The sequence below is a fragment of the Homo sapiens genome, chromosome 2 (assembly GCF_000001405.40).
Source record: "Homo sapiens chromosome 2, GRCh38.p14 Primary Assembly".
In the NCBI taxonomy this organism is placed as follows: Eukaryota; Metazoa; Chordata; class Mammalia; order Primates; family Hominidae; genus Homo; species Homo sapiens.
This window is the reverse complement of record NC_000002.12, coordinates 217,707,655-217,727,337: the sequence shown is the minus strand read 5'-3', so window position 1 is coordinate 217,727,337 and position 19,683 is coordinate 217,707,655. Positions and strand designations below refer to the sequence as shown.

The 19,683-nt window shown below is 44.7% G+C and overlaps 1 long non-coding RNA gene across 12 annotated transcripts in view, besides 1 other annotated feature; it reads left to right on the top strand.

Moving 5' to 3' along the window:
* DIRC3 (disrupted in renal carcinoma 3) overlaps positions 1–19,683 on the top strand; it is a 506,425-nt gene that overhangs the window by 63,106 nt on the left and 423,636 nt on the right. The gene's annotated exons all lie outside the window — the stretch shown is intronic.
* Positions 13,564–13,613: an enhancer, noted in NCBI's record as "active region_17106". NCBI's record gives its function as "activates an Ori minimal core promoter by ATAC-STARR-seq in GM12878 lymphoblastoid cells {active_cell/tissue: GM12878}" and the evidence as "EXISTENCE:reporter gene assay evidence [ECO:0000049][PMID:35858748]".

Genomic DNA, 19,683 nt, shown 5'->3' with positions numbered 1-19,683 from the left:
TAGGTGTTACACACTTACCTTATACTTGCTTTGAATGTTGCTGAACTGCCAGGGATCCTGAGTCTACCGGGATTCTGTACTCATGGGGCACTGCAAATGCTATATGTCAATGGGTTGGCAAGCAATGGTAGGCACATGTGGTCCCTTATCTCCTCTGCTCGTGTGCATTCCCATGTCCCATTAGATTCCAGTTCCAAACATAGAGATAAATTAGTTCAAATTTCAGGATGGTCATAGCAGAGTATCAAACCAAATATAGACCCTTGTAAGTTCAGGGCCCCAAGTGACTACAGAGGTCACACCCAGGAAGCTGGATTTGGGAGTACCACTGTTTGTGTATGGGGTCCATTCTAACTAGTAATTGACAGTGCTCCCCCTGCCCCACCCACCATTCGTATATGGAAATCCTAACCCCCCAAGATGATGGTATTAAGACTGCTGATTCCTTCATCTTGGACTTCCCAGCCTGCAGAACTGTGAAGAAAAAATTTCTGTTGCTTATGGGCTGCCCAGTCTATGATATTTGTTATAGCAGCTTGAACAGACTAAGAAAGGTGTCCTAGGAGAGAAGATGAATGTGACTCAGCCCTGCCCTGCAGAAACATCAAATTCTGTTGCGTTGTCAAAAGTATGTTGTTCAAAAATGAGAAGCAACAACACAGGACAAAACTAGAGAAAACAGCTCTAAGTCAGTGGTTCTCAGATTTAAATGTTCATCAGATCCCCGAAGCATTGGATAAAAACCCATATTTACTGATGGGGCTCTGATTCACTTTGGAGTGAGAGTGAGGTAGCCTCGGAAACCCTTCTCCTGTAACCCCTCATGTTTCTGCAGCAGAGGGTCAACCCACCTCGGTTTGAGAAGCACTACTACAAAGAAAGTGAATTTTGAAAGGAGGGAGAGACCACAGGCTTAGCAGAGAGTAGGGCTCAATAACTGTTCAATAAATTGAGTGAAATAACTAAAGAAAGAAAGAAGAACCGAGAAGCCCGAGGTCTTCAGGGAGAAGTTTTAAGAAGTCGTGTAATTTTAGCTTCCTATTCAGGTCTATGCTTTATATGCAGGACCTATGCCAGGGCTGGGGAGTAGAGGGCCAAGTTCATGCTTGTTTAATGAGAGAGGCCCCCCAGAGTCCAAGGACTCATGGAGACTTGAGGGCAGAGAAGTTGAGATCTCAGATCCTCCATGCACCTTGCATGGGGTCAAAGCCCTCTCCTAGTTAGGCTGGCTCCAAAGTCACAAGGGGGTCTTGAGTAAGACTCCTTTCTGCAGGGAAATCCAGGCAGACCATGTTGGGAGCTCTCAGGTGTGGGGGAGGGTGGAGTGGGGAGTCTCAGAGCCTGACGATGCAGTAGGTTTAAGGAGGACGGCACACTTTTCAACTCTGACTCCCCTCCCAGGCCTTCAGGGAGGGAGCTCCTAGCTGCTCCATCACCTGTTCCTGCATCTCACCAGGGAAAGTCAGGAACTAAATCCACGTGGATTTGGCTGTCTGGGGCACAGAAATGTCACCTGGGTCAAATGCCTGCTCCCTGCTCTCCAGCCGGAAGGCTCCGTTCCCTTCTTGGAACTCCTAGAGCCTTTTATCTTTGCCTCTGCCTCTAAGACATTTGTTGCAGCCAACCTTGTGACTTGGGTGGCTTGTTTTCTGCTGGTAAGTAGGGCCTGGTGATTTATCTCCACTCACCTTTCTCCACTCATACCCCTTGTGCTTATTTAGCATAGAGCTGTTTGGGCAGGTATTGCAACTCACAGTTGTGGAATGAAGGCTGGAAAGCCTGTGCCCTGAGCTTCTGCCTCAGGCAGCAGGGCAGGCTGATGGGCTTTGCGGGGCTCTCTGTATGACAGGGCTTCATTTTTCAGGGTCTCATGGTACAGGCACCAATACATGACCACAGATGCCATGCAGCGGAGGTCAGGAATAGTCTCGAGCAGGTCAGCTGTTTGCTGAGCTGGAAGAGGGTTGTTGAAAGGCACATCCTGTCCCCAGTGGATCTCCAGATGGAAAGGGATCCAATCCCGACAAAGGATGGAGTGGAGACCATAGCAACAGGGGCTGTGATGAAACCAGAGCTGCTGTGGGGTCCTGCCATGCAACCAGCTGAGTCCCAATTTTTTCATCTGTCAAATGAGAACAATAATTGGAAAATAGAAGAAGCATGTAGAGGGCTTGGTGGCCTGCTATGTCCGCTTTTGGCATCTACCTGCTCTTTCCTGCCTCTCTTTGCCTCAGGGCATCTGGGGACTCATTGCATCCCCTTCCTGCACAAGGACACATCCAGCAAAACCCCCTCAGGCCAGACTTTCCCCTTCCCTTTGCTTTCTGTCCAATCAGAACTACAACAATAACAACTTGTATTTAATGAGCACTTACTGTGTACTCTGCATTTTACTAAGCCCTTGACGTATACAAACTCATTTAATCTTCATGGCAACCCAGTGAGGTAGGCATCCCTATTATCTCCATGCATTAAATGAGGAAACTGAGGCTGAGAGAGGGAAAGTAATTTGCCTGAGGTTGCACAGTTAGGAATAGTCTGAAGAATAGTCTGTGAAAGCAGGTTTGTTTGACATCATGGTTTGTGATATTAGCCACCACACTTCACCAGCTTCCTGAATTACTTCCCCATGTTGAGTTCTGGAGCTGTAGATCCCTGTTGGTTTCTGGCTGGTTTATTTTCAAGCTGTTTGGAGATAAGAGTCTGGCACTTAATGTGATAGTCTTTGGCATTTTAACTGACCCCTTGGGCTTGTGGCCCTACTGCAGTAGGAACAAGATGCTGTAATGCTGGAATGCAAAGCTGGGGGTGAGGTTCCTAGGGCTCATGCTTGAGATCAGCCCCTCACCATTCTCCCTCTTTACTCCTTGGGGCAGTCGTCTCCTCTTTGCCTCCATCTCTGAGCCCTATTCCCATGCAGTGGGTCTTGTGTTGATGGCATGTAGAATGCATGAAGTGGTTCCTGACCTTGGGCTTCTGGCACAGACGCTGGCTGAGACCTGTTTAAACTGCCTGTTGACCATAGGGACAGAGCTCAGTTGGACCAAAGGCTTCCACCTTGGCTTCCAGATCCATGGAATCTTCCGGCCTCTTTGGCCATTAGGTTCAGGCCGCCTTCCAGCTGAGTGAGTATAGGCAGGGGGTCGGCATCCCTGTGGCTGATAGAACTGGAGATGCTCCGACCTTGGGGCTTTCATATGAGGCTGATGTTGCAGAAGGTCATGGCTTCTGTGAGGCACTGATTGGAGACCATGATTCCTTCCATTCCCCTTGCTGGGGGCTGTGTGGTCGGACATGTGGCAGCGGTGCCGTCAGCTTGCACCTCCAACAGATGTCTGTGGACCTGCGATTTCATCTGGGGGACAAGCTATGTAATATCGGGCCTGAGTTTTCATTTGTGGGACAAGCTGTGTCATATTGGGCCTGTGATTTCATCTGGGGGACAAGCTGTGTTATATTGGGCCTGTGATTTCATCTGGGGGACAAGCTGTGTCATATTGGGCTTGCGATTTCATCTGGGGGAAAAGCTGTATCATATTGGGCCTGTGATTTCATCTGGGGGACTAGCTATGTAGTATTGGGCCTGAGTTTTCATCTGGGGGGCTAGCTATGTAATATCGGGCCTGATTTTACATCTGGGGGACTAGCTGTGTCATATTGGGCCTAAGTTTTCATCTGGGGGACTAGCTATGTAATATTGGGCCTGAGTTTTCATATGGGGGACTAGCTAATGTAATATTGGGCCTGTGATTTCATCTGGGGCACTAGTTGTGTCATATTTGGCCTAAGTTTTCATCTGGGGGACTAGCTATGTAATATTGGGCCTGAGTTTTCATCTGGGGGGCTAGCTGTGTCATATTGGATTTTCTTCTGGGGGATAAGCTGTGTCATATTGGGCCTGCGTTTTCATCTGGGGGACTAGCTCTGTTATATTGGGCCTGCATTTTCATCTGGGGGACTAGCTGTGTCATATCAGGCCTGTGATTTTATCTGGGGGACTAGCTGTGTCATATCGGGCAGATCCATTCACTGCTTTTTGCCTGGGTTTTCTTGTCTGTAAGGAGGGGATGATGTGTCTGCTCTACTCACTCCCACGGGCTGCTGTGAACATACTTGGGAGATGAGAAACACATGTCGATGAGTGGAAAATGCTTAAAATCTAAACGAAGATAAATGAGGTAGCCATTGGATACAGAGTCATGATTTAGACACTGAAGTCGTCGTTTGAGGGTTTCTACCCAGAGACCAATACAGTGTAATAGAGGTATATTGCACATTCATAGTTGGGTTATTAGTAAACACTGGTAAGATCATGATGCACAGCAGGTGAGAACAAACGGCTCACTCGTGGCTCATATTTGATCTACTGTATACTTATGCTTCTATTGTAAAGGATAGGTACTTTTTATAAAAGCTTAAGTAAGGCATTGTGCCTTGATAAAAGGCATACTTTTATATAGATTACACAAAGTAAAGAGTTGATGCAGCTCTTGTCCCTGCTGAAAATCCACATACATTCTCATTTTCTCATGGATATTAATTAAATGACCTTGGAGTAAATGTTCAGTCAACTGGAGGGCCTATGAAGGCGTGTGGAAAGGGAATGAATGAACCCTGGGCCATGGTAGGGCTGACCTGTGGGTTATGGTTCCCCTGCTTCCACGTCCAGGTTAAGAATGCTTCACCTTTTTTGACAATTTCTTTTTCTTTTTTAAACACATCATTGTTGATTGCCAGATCAATAAATAAGTATAATAAAGCTGTTTTTAAAATAGCTTTATCGAGGTATAATTGGCATGCAACAAACTGCACACATTTAAAGTGTACAATTTTATAAGTTTTGACACAGGTGTATACCCATGAACCCATCACTGGAATCAAGATGTTGAGCATATTTATTATCCCAAAAAGTTTCTCTGTGGCACTTTGTAACCTTTCTTTCTTGCTTCTCTCACCCACACAACCATGGATCTGCTTTACCTCTCTATAGGTTAGTTTGAGTTTCCTAGAATTTTATATAAATGGAATAATATACTATGTATGTTCTTTAGTCTGGCTTCTTTCACTCAGCATACTTATTCTGGGATTCATCCAGATTGTAGTATGTATTAGTAGTTCATTCCTTTTGATTGCTGAGTAGTATTCCATCATGTGAGTATATTATAATTTGCTTACCCATTCACCTGTTAAAGGACATCTGGGTTATTTCAAGTGTTTGGCTATTACAGATAAGGCTGCTATAAAAATTCAGTCAAGTCATTGTATGGACATATGCTTTTATTTCTTTTGGGTAAACATCCAGGAATGGAATGGCTGAATCATATGGTAGGTGTATATTTGACTTGTAAAATAACTGCCAAACTGCTTTCCGAAATGCTTGTCCTATTTTACAATCCCACCAACAGTGTTCCAGTTCCTCCACATCCTCACCACCACTTGATGTGGTCAGTCCTTTCCATTTTAGCTATGCTAATAATTATTTAGTGCTATGTCATTGTGGTTTTAATTTGCATTTCCCTAATGACTGATGAGGTTGAATGTCTTTTCATGTGCTTTTTTGCCATCCATGTGTCTTCTTTGGGAAAGTGTCTGTTTAGATATTTTTCCTGTTTTCTTTATTGGGTTGCTTATTTTCTTTATTGAATTTTGAGAGTTCCCTTTATAAATCTGGATACAAATCCATTATCAGATACATGATTTGTAAATATTTTTCTTGTAGTCTGTGCCTTGTCTTTTCATTCTGATTTTGAAGAGTAGATATTTTTACATTTGATGAAGTCCAATTTATCAATTAGTTCTACTATCACTTGTACTTTGGGTATTGTATGTATGAAGTCTTAAGAAACCATAAAGGTTTTTTTCTATATTTTCTATGTATATAGTTTTATATTTTATGTTTACATCTGCGATTCATTTTAGGTAAGTTTTTCATATAATGTAAGTTACTATTTTTGGTGTTCTTAATTCCTGGTGCACATTCATTCATATTTCCATCTGGTTTAATTTTTTTTTCCCAAAGGACTTTAATATTTCTTCTAATGTAGGTCTGCTGGTGTTAGATTCTTACAGTTTTTTATGCCTGAAAATTTCTTTATTTCGCTTTTTTTGGGGAAAGATATTTTCACTAGGTATAGAATTCCAGTTGATATTTTTTCTTTTGACACATTAAAGATATTGCCCTACAGCCTTCCCTCACATACTGTTTTAAGATGAGACATCTGCTGTCTTTACTTTGGCTCTTTTGTTCATAATGTACCTTTCTTTTGCTGTTTTTTAGATTTTCTCTTAATCACTGGTTTTGAGCAATTTGATTATGAGGTGTGATATTCCTCATATTCTTTTGCTTGGCATTCATTGTGTTTTCCGGGTTTGTGGGTATATAGTTTTCATTAAACTTGGAAAAAAATTTAACCAGTATTTCTTCAAATAATTTTTCTGTTCTCCCTTGCATCTCAAATTTGATGACTGCAATTACACATATATTTGGTTGCTTGAAGTTGTCCCATAGCTCAGTGATACTCTGTTAGTTTTTCTATAATGTCTTTTTATCTTTATGTATCCTCATGGCTAGCTCATATTGCTGAGTCTTCAAGTTTCTTCTGTAATGTCTGATCTCCCATTTATTCTAGTCAGTGTATTTTTCATCTCAGACATTTTAGTTTTCATCTGTAGAAGTCTGACTTGGATCTTTTAAAATATCTTCTACTTAACTTTTTGAACATATACAGATATAATTATAATAACTGTTTCTATTTCCTTGTCTGATAATTCTAACATCCGTGTAGGTTTCAAGTTGGTTTTGGTTAATTGATTTGTCATGATACCATGGGTCATGTTTCTGCCCTTTTCAATACTTGGTAGTTTTTGATTGGGTGGTGTTGGAAGTCACCTCCAATCATTTCTTCACTAGAATCTGAACCACCAATGCAGAGATTGAAATCTAGTAGTCGGAATATGAATCCCATCTGTGGATGTGTTCTGCTCAGCTTGAACAGTGTGTTAAAAAAGATCTCAGATGTTTTTCACACTTAAAAATGGAGAGATATGTGAAACCATGGATTCTGTTAAACATTTTTAAAAAGTCAGGCTATCTTGCAGTATGGCTGCCATTCCCACTGGGAGCGGCTGCTGTCTTTGGATGCCACTGTGAGTTGAATGTGTTCCCCAAGGGTTCATGTGCTGGAAACCTAATCCCCAGTGCAGCAGTGTTGAGAGGTGGGACTTTTAAGAGATGATTAGAGGCAGGGCCCTCATCAATTGATTGTTACCTTGGGAATGGGTTTCTTAAAAAAGGATGAATTTAGCTTCCTTCTCTCTGTCTCTCACACACATGTCATGCCTTCCATCATGTTATCATGCAGCAAGAAGGCCCTCATCAGATGTGGCTCCTTGACCTTGGACTTAGCCACAAGCTAAATAAATTTCTGTTCATTATAAATTACCCAGTGTATGGTATTGCTATAGAAGCATGAAACAAACTAAGATGGGTAGAGTGTGAGGTTTCTATACCTCCTCACAACAGACTCTAGTAGGCATTTTAGTTTGAGCACTCTGTTATTTAAGATCAGTTTTCCAGAAGTAGACCTTGAGATGACTATTAGTGCACAAGTGATTTTTTAACAAAATGATCCTAGGAGAAACTTGAAAGAGAGTGGGGCATGCAGGAAAGAAAAGGGGAAGAAGTCAAGCAAGCATGAAATTTCTGTTATAAACTCATGGAGGATAAACTTTACCTTGATCCTGCAGAGGCATGATAGAATGCAAATTATGCTTCAGAGTTTGTCCCAACTAGATGCAAAGGAGCTGAACTTTCATATTTCCTCCCCAGTCAGAAAGTGCCCTTACACCTGGCAAGGTAGACAAAATAAGAAGGACAAAAGCATTAGGCATCTGCATTACTGTTCCATGTGGGGTCACCTGGGAGCCTCTCATGGTCCTGGCTGAGATGAAGGACAAGAGAAGATGTTGTGCTATTGGATGAAAACTGTGAAAGAGTTGGAAATGCCTTCATCCTCATAACGTCACAGCTTCCTCATCTCCAATGCTTTATTGGTGGGAAGGTCAATTGAGATCATTAGTGGAGACTAATACACAAAGGAATTGGGTGCCACCAGGGGAGGGGACCTACTGGAGGATTGCTACTTCCTCCTGTTGGAGAGCCCTGCTGATGTCACCTTATGCATTCCCTTACTTTAAGGAGAGATCATCCAGATTTAGTATGATTTTCATTCCTAGGAATCTCTAGGAAAGGGAACGTAATTGCCTTCTAGTCATTCATTTATTCACTTATTTGTTTACTCACTCATTTATTCACCCATAAACATTGAGCCAAGCAACATGTTCTGAAGAACTATTTGAATGAGGATATTTTAAGCCATTTATAAAGCAGTGTCTTACCACTGTTTCCTGGCCCACTTCTCCTCTCAAGAGGAAATCACACAGTCTTCTGTCATTGCTCCAAATTCCTTCAAGTGCCACCCACAACTGGAGGCTTCAAACCCATGTTCTTCCATTCTGGGCCTACGGAGGAGAAGTTTTGTGCCTTAAGCTATGGAGGAGTCCTGCATTTGGGCACCTTTCCTTTGATGTATTGATGTAGAGTACTCCCGCTATCTTTGGATCTTCAGTTTCCCTCATGTGAGCTGAAGCCAGCAACGCAGAAAACAAGAGGCTGAGCGCTGGTTATCATGGGCGTCTATGAGGGGGCAAACAGAGGGGAACAAAAGAAACAAAAAGCTCATTGCTAAACCCCTCCAGCCTCCTCAAAGCCTTAGAGTTACGTATACATAACAAATGTTCCTGTTGGGACCCAGAACTGTGAAGGAATGGGCTGGATGGAGACCAAAGGGAGAGACTGGGCTGGGGTTGGGCTGGAGAAGGAGAAAGGCTACTGCTGGTGGTTGGGCAGGTGAAGGTGATGCTGGTCATTGTCCAGCTTTAGGTCTGCTGCTGTGAGCTTATGAACTAGGAGAGTGGCAGAGAGAGGAGAAGAAGGGAGGAAGAAAGAAGGGAGGAAGCAAGAAACGGATAGAGGGGAAGAGTGAAAGAGAGAGAAAAACCATAGAGTGAGGAGAAAGAGACAGAAAGAAAAATAAATCAGAGACAGACAGAATAGAGAAAGAAGAAGCATGACTCTGTGTGTGTGTGTGTGTGTGTGTGTGTGTGTGTGTGTTTGTGTGTGTGCATGTGTGTGTGTGTGTGGTGGGGGGATTGCTGCCCAGGGTCCCTGGTTTGGAAATTCAAGGGGGTTGCAATTCTGGAGTGTGGTGAAATGGCCTCAGGGTCTCAAGAAGCTAACGGCAGGCTCATGCCAGGCCATAATAACAGCCTCTCGGTGGCTCCAACCCACTCTGGCCTCTCAACTCCCAGGAACACTAAATTCACACAGGCGCAAAATGTAACCCTGCTTCAGGCCTCGCAGCCTAATAGCTACCGTTGTGTTTGCACTGCACCCGCAAGCATCACGGGCAATTAAGAAAGTCGTCCATTGCCATCGTGGGCTGCCATTTACGGGTTGGAGCCTGGAGCCCCTCCAGGCCAGTTAGCCCTCTGATGAGACACAAATGAGCAGGGAGGAGTGTTGTTTCCCTGGGAGAAGAACTCCTGCCATTAGCTGGCAGATCCCAAAGGGAGGCAAACAGAGGCTGCTGTGGGCTGATGGAGGGGGAGGTGGAGATGGAGATGGGGAGAGACCAGGAGCCCTGCTTGCACGGACAGACACGTGCACACACAGACACACCTTCTCACAGGCAGTTGTGTGCTAGCATGCACACTCATGCCACCCCATCTTGAACATAGACTGCAGACATGTTAGTGCATGCAACACATGTGGGGCATTCACACACTCATGTGCATGCACACACAAACACAACTTTATGCACATGCTGGCCAGCAAGTGTGCACATTCATGGGCTCACACAGGCATTCGTACCAAGTGTACATGTTATAGATATATTTATTTATGTAAATCATGCTCGCACACTAGCTGGCACTTTCAGAAACACAAATATGTGTACCCAGGCACATAGATAAAAGCCTGGATAAATCCAGGCTCATATACATAGGCACACACAGACAAACACATCCTAATCTTTTCATCTAAAATCCAAAAGCAAGACAGTTCCAAAGACCTTTAAAACATGCATACTCTAGACTTCCAACTTCTTTCCTGGCCATGAATAAGAATGGATTTGGGCACTGGGGCTGATTAATTTGTCCAGTAGAAGACAAAAAAGAGCTGGAAGAGAGTTGCCCTTTCTTTGTTCTGCTTTGAGCCATGGCCAAGGCCATGTATGTGGTTGAAAAATAATTGGTGGTGGACGGCATCTTTTCAGGACCCTACCACCAGCCATTTGACCTTGTTGCCATCCCAGGCGGATGATTTTTAGGCTCTCAGGAAAGAAAATTTCAAAATATTCTTGATCCCATGAAAGTAGAACTCACACCCCTCACATCCATGAAGTCTCTTCTCTTCGCTAGCCTGCTCAGCCATAAGGGGACTGGATTGAATGAGTAGAGGGCTGTGTATTGCGATTTGGTGATTTTGATTTTCTCATTTTTGAAATTGAGTTTAGAAGTGTTTTCATCCTTTTCTGAGGTTTGGGGTTTTTCCTCTCTCAACTGCCTTCCTCACCCCTATTTCCCGCACTGTTATTAGGGAAAGAAAATTGGAGACCGTGTCCATTTTGAGCACGTCTCCCAGAATAATTGTGCCGTGACACACGGGGAGCGCAAACGGAAAACAGGAAGCCAAGCTGCAAGGGCTCGTTTGAAACTGGCAAACTTTGCAGTCAAGTCTTCAGCCAGAAAATCCACAGATGGCAGCCATTTCCCACACCACTTCCCTCCACATCTGGTTCCAAATGGAGGCTGCCATAGGTCTGATCTGTCTCCTGTGGTGGGGGTGATGACCTTCCCCATCAGCCCCAAGACCAAGTTCAATGCATTTGCTGCTGGCTTCACATGGCCAATGCTGGAAGCAGCAGCCCCTGACCACCCTCAACTGCTGTGACCCATGGAGCTGGGGCTCCATGTGAAGCCTTCCATGGACATTTATTTTGGAGGCTTTTTGGCAGTTTTGGCAGATTTGGGTCAGAAGTGGCTTCAAGAAGCCTAATTTACTTAACTACTTTCATTGTACTTTAGTGTCCTCCTCATCTCAATCTTATAATTTCTCTTAATTTTCAATAAAATGTGCTGGAAAGATCAGATTATTGGGGTATGGGGCTGTCAGAGTGCTCTAATGAGTGAGTAAGATGTTGTAGAAGGATGCTGACAGCAACTGCAAGATGTTTGCAGCTCCTAGGTTGGCAGCTAGTGAAAAAGAAGTGGCAAAGGATGTCTTGGTGGGTGATTTTCCTCTAAAACAGGAGCTAGTAGCATGACCTCCCCAAGAGTCATTCTGTTGCTTAGAGGCAATGATAAGTATTTCACTATTTAAAGGGCTGTCCTCAGGGACAAGGAATCACGAGATTATTCTGTATAGCTGTAGAGGGCTATTATGGGCTGCACTGGTTTAGTTTTTCTGCATAACAAAACTCTACAAAACTTATTGACTTAAAACAACATTTATTTAACTCATAATTCTGAGAGCCAGCAATTTGGGCTGGGCTCAGCTGGGTGGTTCTGCTGACCTGGGCCAGGCTTGGCTGATCTCAGCTGGGGTTCATACATGCATCTGCAGTCAGCTGTCATGCTGGCTGTGGGTTGTCCCCAGGACTTGAGAGAGTAAGAGTCTAAGCTTAGGAAGGCCTAAGCTGGGATGACAGAGTTCTCCTCCATGTGTTAGTTCATCCTGTAGCAGACTATACTGATCTTGTTCTCATGCCAGTGACAGGGTTCAGAGTGAGAGAGCAGAAGTACGTGAGGTCTCTTGAAGTCTAAGTTCAGTAATGGCATGACATTACATTTGATCAAAGCAAGTCATAGATCAGTCCTGCAAAGTCACATGTTAAGGGCATGGATACAAGGAGGAGTGAAAAAGGGTGACCATTTTTACAACCTACCACTTGGGGGACACATTTTGACCTGATATTCAAAGCTCCTTCTAATGAGTTGAGCTGCTCAGCCGTGGGACAGATTGTCCTGCTGGCCATGGGCCTGCTGTAGAGGAAGGACTACCTCTCAGATGATCAGAATGGGACCACTGGGCTGCCAAAAGCCCTTCTGATTCCAAGTGTTTATTTACCAGGAAATTATTTTCACCTACCCAGAGTCGAAGATTTTCATAATTAAAGAATAGGAAAATTGGAATAATTTCCCAAATCCTTGACTGCCCCATTCATGGCCAAATTTCTTCACCCCCCACCCCCTGCCACCATTGCTGACCAGCCTCCTCTCTCTTCCATTCACTCATGTTGCACCCCCAAGTCCTGGCCTTGCCCACGTGTACCTCTGATCACATCCACCAACCTGTCTATGCTTAGTGTCTTGTTGGGGGTAGAGAGCAGAAGACAAAGGAGAAAGCATGCTCTTAAAGACAAAGGCTGCTGGACTCCGAATTTATATTATAGTCTCTAAAGAATGATGTGTGCTGGAGAAGAAAAAAGACACAGCACGTGCATATTTTTCAAAGAAATGCACACGTGCGGAGAGTGGAAAATTAAAGAAGCCAACAACCCAAACCGAAGTTGGTTCTGAAGGAGGGAGATATAAACTTGAGCTCCAGAGCTGGAGCCAAGACAGGAAGTGGGCTTGGCTTGCACGAGGTGCATATGCTGCATGGAAAACCACTCTACGCTGCTCAACTCCCTGTCTTCCTAATTCCCCTCAGCTTCCAGCCTCTGCTGACCCTGGGAACAATGCAGCACTGTGCTGAGACTGTGCCTTTTGTAATGGCCTGGGAGAGGAAGAAAGGAGAAACTGGTCTGGGCGTCTGCGTGTGTGAATCACCCGTGTCACATGGCCAGGCCGGCTGCAGCGTCTCCCCGGGTCTGCACAGGGCACACAGGGAGCATGGCCTGAGCCCATGCCTGGAGGCTGGTCAGCCAGCTGCAGAGTGCCCCACTCTGAACCACACAGCCAGGGAGAGGATGGAGAAGGGGGAAGGTCTGGTGCCATGAGGGCCTTGGAGGACATTCCTTGTTGCCGTGGGGGCAGGCTCTGGGCCCTGGATGTCCCCCGCAATCCCAGATCATTTGTGGAGATTGGGTCTGATGTTCGTGAAAGTCACAGACTTTTTGGTTCATCACTGAGACCTGCAGGACGCTGGCTTGTCTGTTGATTCAGGCAAGACACGTCTCCTTCAGTGTGGGGGCTTTCTCCAAGGACCAAAATATGTCCAGGGTATGGAGAAACCACCTTATTCTGGAGAAAAGAGGGTACAATGAGGTGGGCAGGAGCCAGGGCTGTTCTGTTTTCTAGAACCTTCTAAATCCTGGCTTTAGAGTCACAAGCAAGAGACGCTAAGGCAGGCTCCTCGGAGGGCAGGTTGGAAGATGGTTGGTGTCAGGACAAGAGGAAGATTCGGGCCAGACACCAAGAAAGGCCTGCGCTGTTTGAAGACAGAGCAGATTACTGAGGGTGGTTGCAGCACCCCCCCAATCCCTGTTTCTACTTGGAGAGGGCTTGCACTGCGTGGAGGCACGGGAATGGATCTGTGACCCTGGGCAGTCGGAATTAACCTGACCTGGCCAGCCGAGGTGCCTTCTCACAGACACCCTGCAGAGGGCAGTGTGGTACTGCGGGCAGGACTTTGTTGCCTCATCAACTTTTCTTTCCACCCTGCGGCCCTCCTAATCTTTTAAAATCAAAGCTGCTTAGACACAACCTGAGCGCTGCTTGAATGACATGGATTTAGCCTGGTGCTCTGGGCCCCCTTTGCTGAGGGAAGCCCTCCAGCCTTGGATGTGCTCAGAGAGCTTACCTAACTCTCCCCTCTGCCTGCTTCCAGGCCTTGGGGACAACAGCTAAAAGTGGCTGTGTAGATGGGCAGAATTTGGTTGTACATATGTAGAGCCTCAGGATTTTCAAAACACATTTTCATCTGCTCCTTGAACCCATTCTTAGAGGTGGATGGGATGCTCCGTTTTATAAGAGAGAATTGAGACCCAAAGAGAGGGGAAGTGACAGCTCACGGGGGCCCAGCTGATTCGAGGCAGAGACACGTGGGGGACCCTGGTCTTCTAACCCTCAGTCCAGTGCTCATTCTACCCCTTGCGAAGCCCCTGAAATGCAACCGGTGTCAGTCCCCTCCACCAGCCGACCTCCCCCTCTTTGTGGTTCTGTTTTCTCCCAGGTGAGGGGGGGTGAAGATGCCTCTGCTACTCCTAGATCCTTGAGCCACTCCCTGGCCAACTGTATGATCTCTGGTAAGTCCCCTCGCTGGGATTTGCTTTTCCTACCAGAACAATGAAGTTATTGGATCAGATGATCTCGAAGGTAGCTTGGAACCTTGACCTTTCCTGGTTCCATGTTTGGGCTGTGTCCCCAGTTACAAGTTATTTGGTCGAATTGAAGAATAGAACCTTGCAGGGTGGTGGGTGACAGATGCAAACTCCAGCTGTGAATCTGACCAGACTCTGTGCATTGAGCTGGTTGTTTTCATGTGGAGGGTGCAACCTTGTTCCCCAGGACTTGAGAGAGTCAGGTCAAACCACATGAGGACATTCTGCTTGCTGACAAATGGCATAGACGGTGGTGTCAGTGGATGTGAGTGACAGTCGTCAACTGTGCCCCACAGAGCTCCACACTGAGAGGCCGGTTGTCGGATGCTGGGGGGACAGTGCACTCTTCCAGGGCTGTGCTTCCTGCTCCATCTCCCTAGCAGCCCTTTGTATCCCCGGCAGTTGGGAGTCGGCACGAGCTCTGTTTCTGTGCTGGTTGCCTCAGCAGGTCTGCTGTTTTCCAGGAGGAGTGCATAGGAAAAAGAAAGAGCCAAACCCTTCAAGGCACACCCAGGGTCACAATTACAAGATATACTTTGGATGTGTGGGATGGGGAGGAGTGGAAGGACAGAGCAACATAGACAGAGCCTGAAAGTCAGAATTCCTTTTTGACATCATCAACCACCATTCATTGAGCACTGAGCATGTGCTAGGTACTATGTACCCACAACTGGGTACAACTCTTAATAATCTCATTTTACAGATGATGACATTGAGGCCCAGAGAAACTGTGTAACTAGTCCAAGATGGCACAGCTCAACAGAGGTAGAGTAGTGATGGCTAAGTGCACACCCTTAATTCCTCCTCTAGGCTCTATCCATCTCCCTGACTGAATTATCATCTTTATTATCTCACAAGAAATTAGGCATACCGCCTTAAAAGTAAGACTATGCTCATGAGTAAACTGAGGAAGAACATCTGCCATCTGTACTGTTCCCAGAAATCTGGGAGATGATCTGTTTTTCTTTCTATCTATCTATCTATCTATCTATCTATCTATCTATCTATCTATCTATCTATCTGCCATCTCTGAGTCTTCTCCAGGTATCCCACCAAGTAGGAAGTTGGCTATGATTTCCACATCCATACTCTTACATGTTCTTCTACGAAGTTCTGCAGAGTAGCAAGGGCTGGTGGTGTATTCCTGAGATGAGAAAGTAGAGACCCGGCAAAGGCTAGTGATTTACTCAAGGCCCCAGAGCTGGTTGGTGACTGGCCTAGAACAAGAACCCAGGTTTCCTGACTCCTGGTCATAGTGTCCTATTCACCATGAAAAGACTTCTGGGAAAAGAGATCTGACTTGGCCAGGGAGACCTGGGGATGCTGGCTTCCCAGCCATAGTGATCCTTGCCTGCAGGTGCTTTGAGTTCCTGGGGTTTCTGTGCTAATCTGTGCCCGGAGGCCCAGCCCTGCCAGGATCAGCCGAGGATTTGAGTCCTAATGCAGGTTCGGATGGGAGATTTTGTGGGATTCATCCTACATTTAAGGCCTGGTGTGGGTAGCCAGGGGCTTTCCCATAGAAACCACAGCTATGTACTGTGTCAGGGCTAACAGTCCAGGGGGAGTGCAAAGCTTTGTGCTGCAAACCAGATCTGCTCACCAAGCCATTGCTGCAGCCCTGCTGTCCTGGGGCAGCTGGAGACAGGGAGAGCCCATGGCAGGGAGCCTCTGGTGAAGGCTTAATGGCATTTGCATGGGGTTTCATACCACACAGGCATGGAGTGGCTTAGATTTCTGAGAAACCGTTCCACCCTGTCTGGATGGCTTAAGGGAAGCCTTTGCTGGAGGAAGGGACCTTGACACATGATTTTTAGAGAATTTTTTCTACTTAGGTTATTGCTTCCTCCCCCTAGTTTTGCTTTTCTGCTTAAAAAACTGGCATGGTTAAATGCCTGTAACGTAAAACTTCAACTCTTTACCTTGACAATAAGTTTACCTTCTTAGCTCATCTTTGCTACTCTCTTCCTCTGGCCCTGTCCTTTCTCTTGTTTCTATTTTCCTAACCCTATTGAACAATTGTGTAATCTTGTGTAAATCCCTTGTGTTACAGCCTGTAGTTGTTAGACAGAGCATAGATTTTCAACAGATCTGAGTTTGAATCTCAGCAGGCAGTCTCCAGCCTGATGTGTGAACTTGGCCAAGTCACTCAATCTTTCTGAACCTTGATTTATTGTTCTATAAAATGGGAGTAATGACATCTAACTCTCCTAGGTGTTATGGAGGTCTAAGGGGGACCTGTAAGTTCTTAGAAAAGTAGAGAGTCTCTGAATTTGTTGGAATGAGGAAGTTGAGTGAGGAAGAGTGAATCTATTGAATATGGAGAAGAGATTCTGAGCTTGACTTTAGTCACCAAGTAATTGAGTTCCTGTAATGTGATGTGTGAATCTGTGGATTAGGAGATGTGGCTTTGGGACATCTGTGGTCCATGCCTGTCCTGGAGTGTGAGTTTGAATGCATGGTGATGATGGCAGTTGGTGTAAATGTGTGGGATAAAAGGAGCTATCTGACAAGCTTCCCCAGAAGAAGGGATCTGGTGTGACTCAAGCACCTTAGGCAGCAGGAAGCTGGAGGGTGAGTGTGTGATGTGAGATGGCCTGAGAAAGGCCTGCTAGGCTGGAGAATGGATTGCATGGCATTTATCTTTGTGGGAGTAGAGATGGTGTTTCATGGTCTTTTAAATGAAATTTGAGAAGGTGGGGGATGCCGGGAGATGGAGTGCTTTGAAGCTCCACCAGTAGAAGGTCTCATTTAGGCTGAAAGAGGCTTTGGCTAAAGACAGAAAATTCAACATAGTATGGGGAGAGCAGGTTAGTGGGGAGGTATGTGAGATGACACCACTGTGGCACAGCCAGAACTTGAATCAGTGTCCAAAGGAATTTCCTCTACCAGAGTAGTTCTTCCAGTTTTTGCTTGTAAGAGCTCACCCACCTCGGAGAACATCTCAAATGGCATATTCGTTTAAGTTTTTCATTGCTTTGATGGTTCAGACAGCAGCCCTCAAGCCAACATTCCAGACTCTACTCAGCCTTAACAAACATTTAGTACTAGATGGTCTGTGTCTCCATGTCACACCCCTCTGATTCCTGCTGCCCAGGCAGATGGGCCACTGGAAGCAATGGAGAGGCCACTGTGGATGTGAGCACCACAGGGTTGTCAGAACACCATGGGTACAGCAGGGTGGAGGGAGGCTTCTGGCAAAGCCCAGCCAGGAACAAGTTTTCTTGTCCTCAGCAACATCTGGTGGCCATGACCTTCCCATAGCCTCCTGGTGGAAAGCTGCCATGGAAAGGAGGAGACCAAATGATCGGTGTCTTGCATTTGCATCCTGTGTCTCTACATGATCTTCATGATTTCTAAGCAACTTGCCTGAAGCCATATGGGCCTGGGATGGGTTTTTCCAGGAAGATGCAGAGTGGGTGTTATTTATTTAGATTTAATTTGCCTAATGGGGATTGATTTCTTAACATCTCTCAGAAGTCCTGTAAGCATTGGAGTCTGTTATCCTATGAAGGAAGGCACATGTAACACTTCTCTTATGCCCAGAACCCCAAAGGGAATTTAGGTATTGTCACCCAATTACTGTTTTCTTTCTTATCTGGTAAAGCAGGAAGAAATCTGGCCACCGCTGGGCTCTTGTTGGAGCCTCTGCTCTAACTGCAATAGAAGTGAGTAGTGTTACTGCAAACTCTACCAGGTGGTAATAGTGTAAAGGGCATGAATTAGATGACATGGATTCATGCTGTGGCTTTGCCATAGTGGTCTCAGCTCCAGCTCATCCATCTGTAGAGCGGGAAAAATAATAAAATCTACTTCAAACGTTTGCTGTGATAATTAAAAGAGATTACGCATGTAAATATAAAAGAAAGGAAACCAACAGCATGTGAGGAACACTTCAAAAGAGTCATCAGTTCTTTCACCTGGGCCCTAACAAGTCTCTAGTATTTGGGGCTGGGAGTTCTAGTTATGTTGTTAACAGTTGCTCATCAGTGGAAAGGCTTGAGGTCCTACACCAGGTGAGGGCTAAGCTCAGTTTCATACCTCTGAGAATCTCCAAAATTTTTCTTGGGTGGTCTTCTGCAGACCAAGCAAATCCAATTCTGCTCAAATGTATGCCATCTGTGTGTTATATATACACGTCACCTGACATCACCTGAATTGGAAGCCTCCAACTTAAAAATGGTGTGCAGGTCCTTGCACTATTTGGGATAGCACTGAAAGAGTTCTTGGTCCAACAGCATGGGAAATTGACCCAAAGTCGGTTTCTAATGCCTCCTTTTTCCCTGGGGTGGGGGCATGATGATATTTGTAGACAGTTACTTCTAATTCTTGTTTACTTACCTCAGTGGACTCTACCTTATCTCCTTCCCACTCTTCCTACTTTTTTTCCATTAACTGACAATGATTAAGTTTGACCTTATCTCACACATGCAATCAAAAGAAAAAGAATTCTCGTGATATTTTTATCAAAGCAAATAAAAACAATTATCAAGTAAACTTGGATACAGCTAAGAAATACAGAAAAGAATGACAGCACCCATAATAGTGAGTGCAGCAGAGAAAAGGCATTCATGGTTTGGGGAAGTGCAATTTGATCCGACCCTACTGGAAGGCAGTTTGGTATATATATCAACATTTAATAAATATGATATGGTAATTTCACATTGAGGAATATATCCTAAAGAAATGACCGGGCAATTCATATGCAAGATAGAGTGCCTATTAGAATGTTGTTTATAATACCCAAAATTGGAAACACAGTAAATATTCAGTAATAGAGATTTATTGACTAGATGATGGAATGCCAATATAATGATGCACTATATATCCATTTAGAATAACAATCTAAATTAGATGTTATTGATATAATCGAAAGGAAAAATGATTACAAAATATGTAGAATTCCATTTTTATAAAAACAAAGCATTAATGTATAAAAAAATCTGGAATGTATGCACATCTAATGGGAGGAGAAATTTTTAAAAATATTTTCCATTAATTGAATTTTGATTTTTTCCTACAATAAACAGATATTTCTTCTTTAATAAGGAAATCACACATATTTTAAATAGAACCAAGACCATTAACTTAGACTTTAAAAGTACCCAGAAGACATTTCCATCAGAATCTCAAAGTTTCTAACTTTCTCTCTCTTTAAACTAGATTTTCTTCCCAGGATTCTAGACATGTAAAAACCAAACAAACATTTCTTAAGCAATATTATTGATTAATTCTGTGCTGAATTACAAATATTGCCAATATGTTATTTTCTATCTTTTGACTGCATTTTCTACTTCAATTG